Raw genomic sequence first — 14,988 nt, 5'->3', positions numbered from 1 at the left:
GGCACTAAGAAAACAACAAGCTCTTACAACTGCTTTTACCCCAAGCTATTTCACAAAACCATCAGAAGAATGGGTTCAATGAGTCATATTCTGTTTCAGCCCAGGGATTTCCTTCCTTACTAAAAAAAAAAAAAAGGAACCAAGGAAAAAAAATGAAATAATGTAGTTTTCTAATACTGATTACAAGAGCATCTACAGGAGTTACGGTGGGTTCAAGGTTTAAGGCACCGGAAAGCTCTCTGCATTGTAAATTCAGTGCAGTATATTTACAACCAAAGCCATTTTCTTATGCTCTGAAGAAACCTCCAATAATTTCTTTCCAAAAGGTTATTCCAAGGTGAAGCAGGCATGAGCCAATGGTATTACATATCTTAGTACTATTAATTTAATGAATGAAGTGTTTTTCATCCTAATGTCATTATCCTGAGGAGTGGGTCTTATGGCCAAACCAACTCCGAATCGTACCTGGCAGTTCATCCATCTCACCTGGGCCCTCTTCCCCACTTTATCAAACTCTGGCTGTGTTCTGGCTTCTTATTCTGTGTTGTTAAGAATCTAAGCACTCTTTGAATTTCTACTTTCTTACATTTTCTAATTCTCTGTAATATCTTACTTGCCAGCATAGGGTTTCCTATATCCACTAATTTAGCACATTCAAATTCTACTATTATAGCATTCATTTTGTGCACTTATTACTTTACCCAATATATTCTTTCCTACTGTACACCATTTCCTTTCTCATCAACCCTAACCAATATTTATCATGCACCAGGCATTACACATGACTGAGGGTACCCAGTTATAAGCAAAAGATAGTTTCTGTCATCATAAAACATATTAGCAGCAGTAAAGAGATAATAAACAAGTAAAAAATGATTAATTCAAAATTCAAATTTGAATTGCTATAAAGAAAACTGAGGTGATGTCTTTTAAGCTAAGACCTGAAGTATGGCAAGGACTGAGCTATCTAAAAAGCTAATGCCAGCTCATGTAGAAACTTACCAAGCTACAACAAAAGAAGAGAAAAATAAAAATTACATTGGTAAAATAAGAAGAATAAAGGACAATTAGATCAAGTAAAATAGTTGTTGGGAATTAAAAATACAACACTGAAATAAGAAAGGAAAGGATGTAAGATGAAGTCAAGAAAAATGCTCAAAAATTAAAGCTATGGAAATTAAAAAAAAATCTTGAAATTTGAAAAGACTATTTAAAAGTTTCAGTATTTCAATGACAAAAATTAAAGAAAATCAGACTGATAAAAACAGGTGGAAAAAACTATCAAATAAATAATACAACAATATTACCTATAAATTATGGACATGTGTCTCTGAACATAAAGAGCTAACAAACGGTCCTGCACAATAAAGAAATCCTGAATTAAAGCACAGTATTTAAATTTTTCAGCATATCAAGGATAGCAAAAAGTTCCTAAAATATTTGGAGTGAAAAGATCTTATATAAAAGAATTGGAATCACAGTATTTCAGAAATTCTCAATAATAACAGCCAGAAAACAATAGATTAATGCATTGTCCTCACAACTCTGAAAGGACATGATTTTCAATAGAATTCTGCATTTAGCTTGTTAATTGGAAGGACAAAATAAATTTATGTTTGGATATGTAAAGTTTTAAGAAACATATTGCCCATTTTTCTGATTTTTACAGAGCTACTAGAACATGTGATCCAAAAAACAAGAGGATAAACTAAATGAGGTAAAAAGATTTAGCAAGAAGAGAGAAGAAGGAGACGTCTTTAAAATACAGGAAACTCCAAACAACACAGCTAGTTATGCAATTATGGACAGAGCAGTTTTAGAAAACAAATGCCTCAGGCTCGCAGGATAGGATGAAAGATGACACTCAGGAAAAAGTGGAAATGATAAAATCTCTAGTGGAATTGAGCTTTTGCAAAATAATGTTGTTGACAGGTTTATAATGAGTAAAAATGGGTACATTGGAAACTAAGCAAATAAAACATGAAGCAAATATTAATTTCAGGGAAAATAAGTTACACAGGTAATAAAACTTCCACCTTGTAGGCAATTTTCTTACTACTAGATAATACTTATATTGTCCTATAATATACAAATTTACAATCAAGTTAACCAAAAAATTTTATTGAGCTTTTTAAAGAAAGTAGGTGGGAATTTGGAAGGGTGGTATGAAAGAAAGGGAAATGCGGTCTTTCATAAAAGAAAATCAATAAACAGTGATTTAAATGACTGCATCAGCAAATGTCAAGATATGCATATTATTTTGTACAATGGAGATAAACAAAAACAAAGCAAAAAGAATAAAGCCATGACTCCTGAAGAGTAACCTTGAGCATGGGGCAGAAAAGAAAACAGTATATCTATTTATTTTATACAAACCATTAGTACAATTTTATTTTTCAAAAATGACCCTTTATTTATTAAAACAAAAACAAATAAATTGTTAATACAACAACAATAAACATAATAAATGTGTAGTCTGTCATAAACTTTTAAAACCCAGAAAAAATTAAAGAGGGAAACAAAAGTCACTTTTAATCCTGCAACCCAGAGACAACGACTATTTCCTGCAAGGAAATATTTTCAACTATATTTAAATTTAATTAGTATCACATTGAACATGGAAAAATCAATAGATACCAATTACATCTTATCTCATTTACCGGTCATAAAGAGGAAAATAAATAGTGCTATTATATTTAGTATAGATAATAGAATAGATAATAGAATGTATCTACCCCAATTTTAATACCATAAACTCAAGCTGTGTTTCCATTTTTTGAGAATGTTAATATGTATATACAAATATATTTAATGGAAGGGTAATTTTTTAAAATGAGATGATAAAGGCATAGCAAGCAAAGAGATGCCCCTATTCTGAATAGGGTGAGAGTGTATTCCATTGCAGGTATCCAAGAGAAAACTGTTCCTGGCAGAAAGACCAGCAAGGATAGTCTCTGAAATGGGAGGAAGCTGAAAGATTTGAGAAACAATCGGGAGGCCAGCATGGCTGCAGCAAAAACCAACGGGACATGAGTAGGCACTGAAGTCAGCAAATGAATGCTTTGTCTCTGCAGATTGAATGGACTTTGGCTTTCCACACCCCAACCCCCACCACCACCCAGCGACTTGGAACACCATCACAGTTTTTTTTTAATTATTTTTAATTGAAAATAATTGTAAATATTTATCTTATAAAACATAATATTTTGAAAGATGCATGCATAGTGAATGGGCTTAACTGTGCTAATTAACATATACATTATTTAACATATTTATTTTTTGTGATGAAAATATTTAAAATCTACTCCTTTGGCAATTTTCAGGAATACAGTACATTTTTGTTTATTGTAGTTATCATGTTGTCCAATAGATCACTTGAACATTTCCCCTCCTATCTAACTGAAATTTTTTGTTCTTTGACCAAAGACTCCCACCCCACTCCAGCCTCTGGTAACCACCATTTTACTGTCTGCTTCTGTGAGTTGAACTTTTTCAGATACCACATATAAGTAATGTCAGCCATCACGATTTTGAGGAGGGGAGCGACAGGGTGAGATTTACACCTCACCAAGCTCACTCTGGTTGCTAGATTGGGCTTAGTATTACAAGTCAGAGGTAATGAAAGATTCACCCAGGTGAAGGTAAAGAGATAAGGAGATAAGAGACAAGAAGTGGTCAAATTCTGTATATAGAAATAAAAGGGAGAGTTTTCAGAATTTTCTATGTTTTGAAAGTAGGTCCCTTTTACCTTTCTCTTGCTTCCAGATTGTATCACAGACCATTAGGTTAAACAAATTATCCATTCACATTCAAAGATAATGCAAAGGCAACATTCAGGATTCCAGATATTTTTCACTTTTTTTCTGCAGTCACTGAGGTTTTATGTGACTAGTCTTATGTATTAGTTGGTTCCATCACCCCACTTCCCCTCCCACCCACCCCCATCCACACACAGCACAACAATGAAAAAAAAAATCTGTTTGCCAGCATAGAACTGTGAAGCAGTAACTCACATCTAATAACCATGGAAGCCTAATGACACCAAAAAGGTCTGAAGGGGATCCTCAAAGGATTGCAAATTGGTATGAACATGTATTTCCCAGTAGGAACGTCATGTTATTTAGTTTTACATACAATTATCTGCATTTCTCAGTGTTAAAGACTTTGAAATATAAAATAAATCATGGCTCAAATGTATAGGCCTGTATTAGATCTCAAAGGATATAAAACTTCTACTATAAACGTGGTAGAAATGTTATCTTGTATCTACCTCTGTCCACCCTTCTACCTCCTAAATTACAGTGAGCAATTGGATCTGCCAGGGGTAAGAAACGAAAGCATTTGTGCTTGAAGGGTTCTGGTTGCCTAAGACAGACAAGACATGAGTAGGCTTTCAGTACTGCATATTTCTGTGGCTTCCCATGACAATCTGTAGAGCAAACAACAACTATGACACTACAGTGTTCTGGAAATTGGTTAGATTAGAGAAAAAACAAAACTCTTTAGGTTTCAAATTAATTACCTACATATATTCTGTGCATCCCATTTTTCAGATGAAAAGAGGTAGAGGATAAATAATCTACCCTGGATCACACGGTCAGTTTGTAACAGTAAGAATCCTTAATTCCTGTTTTTTTTTTTCTTCCTCACAATTGAATACTGTTTTCACGATGACATAATGTACAGCCTTAACCAGAGGAAAGGATTTCAATACTATATGTGCTTCTGTGTTTAATAGTCTATAGTATAATATAGAATTATGCCATTTTGAAATGGCTTTGGTGTATCACCACACCGTTCTTTTATATAAAATTAAATGAAATACTGGTAAATTAAAGAGGTATTAGGTTGGTGCAAAAGTAACCGCAGTTTTTTTTTTTTTTTGCCATACTTTTAATGGCAAAAACCACAATTACTTTTGCACCAACATAATAGTACAGCAGTGTTTAAGAGTATGACATTTACATTTAAATCTCAGAAGCTTACTTACTGCATACATGACATTGGTCTAGTTATTTCAACTCTGTATGTTTTAAGTTGTTTTTCTTCTATAAAACAGAGAAATTAATGGCATTTACGTCACATTTGGCTATGAGGATGAACTAAATAAAAACATGTAAATCATTTAATATAGTCTCTGTGCATAGAATGCATTAAATAATGTTAATAATATTATTATGAAGTTCATTCTACTGAGCTGACAATGAGAAACACCCTTTATTACATTAATATTAGTTTTATTCTACACATAGATATTTTGTGTTGAAGAAAAGCAACTTTTAAAGTCAGAAAATAAGGCAATACATGGCAAAATGCTTAGAAGCTAATGTGTGTCCTAGAGGTGTTGAGGTTTGTTGTATTATAAATAATACTGTTCACATTATCCCTCCTGAGTTTCTGCAGCATGGTAAAGGTAATAATGTGTAACTGATGGAATTTCAAAGAAAGCATTATTAAAATATTTGTTCAGTGACCTTTTTGCTCTTTACCTTTTGTCTTCCTGTGGCTGTTAACATTTGGTAGCAATCTCCATCTATCTTACACATTTCTTTCTCTTCTACTCATGATGTTCATTTAATTGGTTCAGGACTCCTATTGTATTTTCTTTTTGCAACTGAGAAAAGATTTGTGATGGTGCTTATTAGGAAGTTTATGTCCAAAGTTAGAAGATGCAGGCAGGAAGAAAGACATGACAGTGAGTAGATCTCTGATTAAAAAGAAAATAAAACATTAGTCAGCTTCTCATGGTATACGAATTATAATAAGTACTTTGGAAGACCTTTGTATTCCACCACCTAGCGGGGTGCCATATGGTAAAGTTCTTCCTTGTTACTAAAGAATGCTTTTGCCTGTGTGGGATGCTAAATCTGTCAGTGGTATTTTATTCCTGACAATTTAGAATGCTGAGATAGTCTATAAACCTATTTACATATTTATGATATTGTCAGGATACAATTCACAGATTTAAAAATTTTAGATGAAAACAGCAAAGGAGCGCAGAAACAAGAAAGCATATTTTTTAGGAAAAAAATGCTTAAAAGAACAAGAAAAATATCTTCCCATGATGCGTGGATTAGGGATGACTCAGAACATTCTCACAGTCACAGTCGGCTTCCACAAGACAAAAAAATTCAAGGTAGCTCAAAGAACTGAAATCTTGCTTTTTCTAATCTATGTGAGAGAACATTGGTAGGGAGGATTGGGTATTTGCTAACTTCACCAGGCACACGAATATTCCAGATTCCACATTTGTGATGTAGAGAATCGGATTCTTTGAGAGCCTTCTCAGCAAGGAATACTTTCTTAGGAATGCCCTCAGATTTATAGAATTAAAAATAACAATGAGGTCAAATACTCACTTGATTCTCTTTATCTCCCTTGCGTTTATGGCTAAAGAGGGGAGATGTGCACCTTTTAGGCACAGCCCTAGTTTGGTGCCTGCTGCTCCATGGTTTAGCCTCGTTAGACTTTCAGTGACAGGTGTTGGGGTGCTTTTGCTGAGAAAAGTCCCCTTGTCCCAGCCCTGCAGGGCAGGCATGCCAGTCTCTGCCAGGTCCGCTGGCCCTTGATCTTTGAAGGAGTCCTCAGGCCTCTCGAAGCATAAGGATGTTTTGCAAGTTTCCAGAATCTGGCCCAGAAATTAGGGCTCAATTTCCTGACTGTAGTAGAGGCAAAGATACTTAAGGAATAGCCCTTGCTGTGAACCTTATCAGACAGGTGCCGGGAGAAGTGAGCTGGGTCTTGTTATTCTTTGGGTGTTGGTGGAATAAGCAGTGAAATTTGAACAAGAAAGAGGAGAAAAGGGAATTTCATCTTTATGGGGTGGGGGTGATTTTTCTCCTAGGGTTATCTCAAGTTGGGGTTTTTAAGGCAGCACAGACTACCAAATGCTGTTTTTTATCAACTGAAATCACTTTGGGAGATATTTTTCTGCAACACTGGAAAGATTTAGTTTTTTAAAAAGTACTCATGCATATGTATATATATATTTCCAATCCTTTTTTTAAGAGACAATCTTTATTGGGGTCTGCACCTCCATCCTTGATCTTGTTAGTGATGCTGTTTTTGCTGTTAGCCAGGTTAGAGTTGGCCCTACGTGGGGTTTGGTAATGAAAGATTGTTAAAAGTTTTGAAAAGTTTTGAAAATAATAATAACAATAGTTTTCAAAGTTTCTATTTGCTAGAGAAAAGATTTACAGAAAACCAAATATGCCCTAATTCCAAATTGATATCACCTATACATTTATATTTTTCTCAGCAAAGGGGTGAATAGCCCATAAGAGTTAGTACCTCATGACCAGAGGAGGAAAACAGAAAAGGAAACATATTTCAAAAGAAACGGACCTCAAGGAAGACAAGCGATTCATAAAGTTGCATGTTTCAAAAAAAAAAAAAAAAAAAGTCCAACTGAATGAAAATCCACAAAACCTGAAATTCAATAAAGAATTTTTTATGTGTTATAAAACAATGAAAGTTCTTCTGGGTCTGAAAATATGGCACACTAAGATAATATTTTAACCCATTCCTGTAAAATACTTGGAAATGCTTCATAAGTAAAATAAAAACAGTAAGTGAATACTAACCAAGTTTAAACGGAAGAAGAGAAATCAGCAGGCGCTGAAATGAAGAGGAATCACAAATACAGAGCTATAAATATATAAGCTGATAGTGTAGCTTACATGAATGCCTATCTTAAAAAATGACACACTACCTTCCCAGAATGGACAATTCTCATTTAAATTGCTCAGTTTTGCAAAATTTGGACAAATGATAAAAGTAACTTATCTGTTCTTCCCTGTATTGATCAACAAACAATTGTATACATACAGAGAACTGTAAAACAGTGTAGGTGTTTGGGTCACTGATACAAGACAATGGGACTTCATCACTTGGTGGAGGAAATGCTACTAGGTATAGAGTTGCCTTATATTTGGCTATGTATTCAACAATATATGTTCTGAAAGTTGAGCTAATAACACTATTATGTTGGCTAATATCAAACAAGATTTTGAGATATTTACAAAAACAGTAATGTAGTGTATAAAAATATCTGATTTCTAACGGTAACACCATAGCTCCTGCTAATACTACTGTGGTTTGCTGCCTACATTCATGATAGAGGAAATAGTACACTTCAGTCACAGCTTATCAAAATGAAGATGTAATTTTTTCCATAAAATTCCAAGCCCTTAATGCCTACCCATGGACCTCATGGGTGTTACTGGATCACAGGTTAAGAAGTTTTGCTTTATGTGTATTATCTTATTTAATCTCTACATGGTCCCTGTGAAATAGGAATTATTGTTGTTTAACTAATGAGAAAACTGAGTGATAGACAGTTTGAATCTTTTCCCCCATATCACATGACAGAAATTGTGAAGCTAGGATTCTAACAGAGGCAAACTGACTCCCAACATATTTGCTTTCATTTTTTTTAATTTTAAACTAAAGTCTTATTCATTGCATGCATTATTACATTTATATAGGTCTGTATCTATCTAGCCAGTTTTATTGTTAATCAATTCATGAGTCACGTCTATAACGCTTTCATTGCACTTTTATAATATGTTTAATATTTGGTAGGACAATTTCTCTGTCAATAGCCTACACATATTTTTAATATCCATATTAATTATCTAAATTTAAGAGGCAATTTTAAAATTCAGATTTATTTAAGCATACTCTCACAGACACTAAAATGTATTTTTTTGAGGTACAGCCAATGAGTTTTACCAATGTACAGGATATCACAACAATGAAGTCGTAGAACATTACCATCCCCTTAAAAAATTTTCTTATTCTTTGTAGTCACTTCCATTCCCTTTAACCTTTTTTTTTAAAAAAAAAAACTAGAAGTAAACATTAAGCCAGAGAATATGGGAGGAGTTTTTTACCAGACCAAATAAATAAATAAATATAGACCATAATGGAAGATTGACAAGTTGTTTTATATTTTTATTTTCTATATAAAAAGCCTCTTTTAAACAAGTTTTAAAAAATAAGTTTAGATAAATTAAAGTAGTATTATGTAAAAACAATGACAGACCACTCCAACTAAAACAGATTGGATAATATTAACATTAAATTTGAGGTTTGAGAGGGGTTTGTGATGAGTGAGGGTTAGAAACAGAATTGCATAGAAAGAAGAGCAAAATGGGGATAATGAGATTCACTTTAGCTAGGGGTATCAAGCGTATGACAAATTGTGGACTTGACTTTCATCTATTAACAAGCAGAGGGAGTAATAAGGTAACATGTTACTCTGAATCCAGTTCTGGCTGCCAAGTATATATTTCTTGAAGTGATAATTAAAAAAAAAAAACTTGTAAGAAATCAAACACATCGTCTTTGTGTTAACCAATAGGGATATCCATTATAGCCAGCTATAGTTCCTAGATTTTAGAAATGTAATTTAATAAATATTGAAAAAGTATAGCTTGGTCTCACAGGCTCAGATTTTCAAAAAGAAGACTCGAATTAATTCAAAAGCACAGCGTCAAGATTTTGTAGAATTATTTTCAACCCCCTCTATCAGCAATATCAAAATGAACTTTCACAAAAGGGTAAAATAAAACCAATATTGTGGCAATGACAGCTTACATAGCTCACTGTATTTCCCACTCTTGGTGGAAGGTTACATTTTATAGAAAAGCTCATGTACCAAATAAATGTACTTTAATTTTTAAACTTTGGATATTAGGTAGCAGAAAAATGACATAATTTACAAATGGTTTACATTTCCTTTGCCTCACTGATATCATGTCATACATCCTTCTTATGCTAAATTTTTGACAATGCAGTCTGCCTGTATCATGGCAGCCTGCCTTCCTCATGCTGTTCCTTTCTGCATCCACAGCAACCTGGCTTCTGCCTCCACTGAAAGTGTCAGGCATTTCTCAGAGATACCAGGGGTTCGGTTCTAGACTGCAGATGAAATGAATCACAAGAACTTTCTGGTTTCTCAGTGCATATAAAATTTGTGTTTACACTAATATTAAGTAGGCAATAGCATGATGTCTTTAAAATATGCATACCTTAATTTAAAAATACTTTGTTGCTAAAAGTGCTAATGATCATCTGAGCCTTCACCAAGTCATAATCCTTTTGCTGGTGGAGGGTCTTGCTTCAGTGTAATGGCTGATGACTGATCAGGGTAATGCTTACTGAAGGATGGGGTGGCTGTGGTAATTTCTGAAAATAAACAACAATGATATGCTGGTGGAGGGTCTTGCTTCAGTGTTGATGGCTGTTGACTGATCAGGGTAATAGTTATTGAAGAATGGGGGAGCTGTGGCAATTTCTGAAAATAAACAATAATATTTGTCACATCCATTGATTCTTCCTGTCACAAAAGATTTCCTGTAGCAAGCTATGTTGTTTGATAGCATTTTACTCACAGTAGAACTTTCAAAATTAGAGTCAATACTCTCAAACATGGTCACTGCTTTATCAATTAAGTTAATGTAAAATTCTAAATCCTTTGTTGTCATTTCAACAATGTTCATAGGATTTTCACCAGGTGTAGATTCTGTCTCAAGAAACCACTGTCTTTGCTCATCCATAGGAAGCATCTCCTCATGCGTTCAATCATGAGATGGCAGCAATTCAGTCACATCTTCAGGCTCCAATTTTATCTCTAGTTCTCTTTTTATTTCTACCACATCTGCAGTTACTTCCTCCACTGAAGCCTTAAACCCCTAAAAGTCAACCATAAGGGTTGGAATCTACTTTATCCAAATTCTTATTAATGTTGATATTTTGATCTCCTCCCAGGAATCACAAATATTCTTAATAGCATCTAAAATGGTGAATTATTTCCAGAAGATTTTAAATTTACCCAGATTCATCCGAGGAATCACTATCTATGGCAACCATCACTTTACAAAATGTATTTCTTCAGTAATAAGAGTGGAAAGTCAAAATTACTCCTTGCTCCATGAGCAGCTCATGGAGTAGCACTGTTAATTCCTTCAAGAACTTTTCATTTGCATTCACAACTTGGCCAAATGTTTGGTGCAAGAGGCCTAGCCTTTTGTCTACCTTGGCTTTTGATATGCCTTCCTCACTAAACTCAGTCATTTCTAGCTTTTGACTGAAAGTGAAAGGTGCATGATTCTTCCTTTCATTTGAACACTTGGAGGCCATTGTAGAGTTATTAATTGGCCGAATTTCAGTATCGCTGCATCTTAGGTAATACAGAGGCCCAAAGAGAGCGAAAGAGATGAGGGAAAGGTGAATCGGTGGAGCAGTCAAAACATGCACAGCATTGATTAAGTTTTCTCTCTTACATGGATGCAGTTTGTGGTGCCCCAAAACAATTACAATAGTAACATCAAAGATCACTGATCACGGATCATTAAAATATATATAATACCAATGAAAAAGTTTCCAATATTTCAAGAATTACCAAAATATGACACAGAGACACAATATGAGCACATGCTATCAGCAAAATGGAGCCGACAGACTTACTCAACTCAGGGTTGCCACAAACCTTCAATTTAGATGAAACACAGTATGTGTGAAGCACAATAAAATGGGGCGTTCCTGTGCTCCTAACCCAGTCAATGCTGACTCCTTAATGCAACAGACATTTTCAGTCTTAATTTTTATTTCTCCCTCTGCTGTTTTTAATGTTATGGATAATTCTCTATTGCTTAAAACATTTTATTTCTCTCACTTCTGTAACACCAAACTCCTGTAATTTGTTTCTAAATAATCTTAATTTACTTTGACTCTATTATTTCTTAAAAGCTAGTGCACTCAACTTTTTCCTCTCCACTGAGTGAGTTTTCTTATACTAAATTTCTCCTTGAAAGATCACCACATTTTTTACCTTAACTCTAGCTGTATGTTCTTACGTTTTCAAAACTCAGCATTAACCAGGATCTCTCTTGAGAAAATTAAACATGTATATCTACTCTACTTCTGAACCTCTCCACTTTTATGTCTCAGGAGTTTCTTAAATTCAAGATATCTAAAATGGAACTTATCATTTCCCTTCTAAATCCCACGTTAATTTATAGCTCTACCAACAATTCAGACACCTAGTGAGAAATCTCAGGTATTTTGTTTATAAGGACCTTACCTTTACCTGTATATATAATCTACAAGTCTTGTCAATTTTGTTTAATTATTATGCATCAAATCTGGGCAACCACTTATTTCTGGATCCAACCTTCCAATTTAGACCTTCATCGTCTTTGGCCTAGGATGTTCGAATCTACTTCTGATATTTGTCTTCTATACCCTTCAGATACATTCTCCACTTTACCAATTGATTGATTTACCTTAAACATAGACCTGATATTACTCACTTGGTTAAAATCCTTCAATACTTCCAACTTATCTAAAAACTTAAAATTTTTAATGTGCATATGATGATTTGCATGGCCTCATCCCATCTGCTTTTTAGTTTTGCCTCCTCCCGTGTGCCTTGCACTTTAGCAATAACAACTATTTAGAAAGCACTAAACACATCATACTAAGCCATGATTACATGCCTTTATCCAAACTCTTCCATCTGCCTTAAATAGACATACTCATGCCATTCTCTCTTCCCCTGGTAATCAACACCCTGTCTTTTAAGACTCAGCACCATATGTCACCTCCTCCAGAGAGTCTTCTAACACCTCTCCTTTGTAAGGTTAAACACAATTCATCTATTTTTCATGATATCCTATACAACCCTTTAATGACACTTTGAATATTGCAATAAAATACTACTTTATGCCCCTCTCTCTTTTTACTCCTTTCTCCTAATGACAGAGATTCCTTAAAAGCATTTGTATTCTTCTTTGTATTAACACAGCCTGATATTTACCTAATGCCTAATAGAACTCAATAAATGATGGCTGAAATGAAATGGGAAAAGAAATAGAAGCTTACATGGGGTGCCTTGTAAAGGGATTAGAAATATGCCTACACATGAAATATTTGGATATTCAAATGCCTCTTATTCTGGCTATTCATACATCATAAAGAGATTCCAGCTAAAGTAGAGGTAATCCTGACTCCACTAGTCCATGACTCTAATTATACTATGCCTCCCTTAGAGCCTAATTGTCAGCCCCTAAGACTTAGGCACTAATAGAATTATAACTACTAAATAATAATCTGTGTGTGAAGATACAGAAAAATTGTAAATGTTAATTTGTGTTTGGCATTTTAATTCTTGAAATCTCTGACATTTGATTTCTTCTCTAAAATTATCGCCTCTTGTTTAATGCCTCATACATCTTTACTACCATTAAAGATGGCGTGCAGGCTAGACAAAGGGGACAGAATTCAATTTATACACTCAATCAGTTTACCCAAATTAATCTACACAAAAAAGGAACATAAGTGACTTTTTAATGTATACATCTATTTGAAAACAAAACTATGAGAGCTATAGTTTGATTGTTGTTTCTTTGTTTGTTTGTTTTTCAATTATCTGAGACTTCCAAACTTAGCTGTCTAGTTTTTGACCCTGATTCTCTTCTGGAGAGTGCCACGTATTTTCTCTTTAGCACTCTTCCCCTCCTGATTAGAATTTTTAAACACTCACTAAAGAAACTTGTGATTAATGACAGTTAGAACTTATTGGACTTGAAGGACAAATGTTTGCTTCACCAGTTAAGGGAACGAGCTAATCAAAATGAAGAAGTGCAGGGCAAGGAAGAACAGGGAGAGAAACGAATGCTGTGAATCTGTATGGATTCGCTTGAAGAGATGAGCTGAACTTTTCATTTACTGCATCACAAACTTGACTCAACCTTTGTCTGTATTAAGAATAATGGAGCCGTTCTTATAAAAGAGTGTAAAACTTCTCAAATTAAGCCTCCCCCCTCTTACTTTTATAGCTTTTGGTTGGTATTATTCCAGCTTTTTCACAGTAAATGTTTCACAATATCTTTCATAGATTGAAAAAGTTTTCCACCTCCACAGTTACAAATCCTGCTATAACAAACCAAACTGGCTGTCTCTTCAGGGACTGTGCTTCATACTTCAGCACGAAATTGAGACTGAACTTTTTATTTGCTGAAAAGGTGACACAATTTTCTTTTATATGGTGTTGTCTCATTCTTCGCTTTTACAATGACCTCAGAGGAGTGGGTACCTGAAATATTTCAGTGCTAGATTGTTTGTGAACTAGAGATGAATCAGTCTTGAAAAGGAGGTAGAAATCCTTTTTGGTGGAAGGGCGCCAGGTAACATCTCAGAGTTTGCCATGTTGATATTTTCTATGTGTTTCATCAAAAAATTGCACTATTGATAGAAACTCAGGCATCTAGGAATGTAATGTAGCTGGCTATATGTTCTTTATTTATAACTAATCTCTGCAGAGCAAAAGAGAAGAGGGTTAGAAAAACAAGGATGAAAGTTACCATTGCCTGAAAACGTTTGTGTATGTATAATAGTACTTACAAAGTGGAAAAATGAACTATGTACTTTCTGCTTCCTGTGAGAAAAAAAATCTAATCACAAAATTATGCCTACACTGATTTTCAGAAAAATTTATGTGAGGATACGATATATTAGGACATTATGTAAAGGGGGCTTTACAGTACTTGAAAATTTAAAGTATGCTCAGAGTTTACTGTTTTTTTATTTTTATTTTTAACCTTTGCTTCTCCAGGAAAGATTCATTTGCATATTTCTTTAAAATATCTCTGCTTATATGTCCTAGTCTATCTAGTAAAACATCACATGGACCAAGCTGAATGACAGCTAAAAAGGTGCGATAGTTAAAAATAGATAAAGTATGGCCAGGCACAGTGGTTCATGCCTGTAATCCCAGCACCTTGGGCGGCTGAGGCGGGTGGATCACGAGGTCAGGAGATCAAGACCATCCTGGCTAACATGGTGAAACTTCGTCTCTACTACAAAAATACAAAAAATTAGCCAGGCATGGTTGCATGTGTCTGTAGTCCCAGCTACCAGGAGGCTGAGGCAGGAGAATTGCTTGAACCCAGGAGGCAGAGGTTGCAGTGAGCCAAGATCAAG

The 14,988-nt window shown here is 34.5% G+C and overlaps 1 pseudogene; it reads left to right on the top strand.

Moving 5' to 3' along the window:
• Positions 6,342–7,129, top strand: UNGP2 (uracil-DNA glycosylase pseudogene 2; annotated as a pseudogene).

This window comes from Homo sapiens, chromosome 14, assembly GCF_000001405.40.
Source record: "Homo sapiens chromosome 14, GRCh38.p14 Primary Assembly".
Classification (NCBI taxonomy): domain Eukaryota; kingdom Metazoa; phylum Chordata; class Mammalia; order Primates; family Hominidae; genus Homo; species Homo sapiens.
The sequence above is the reverse complement of the archived record's forward strand: the minus strand, read 5'-3'. Positions and strand labels throughout refer to the sequence as shown.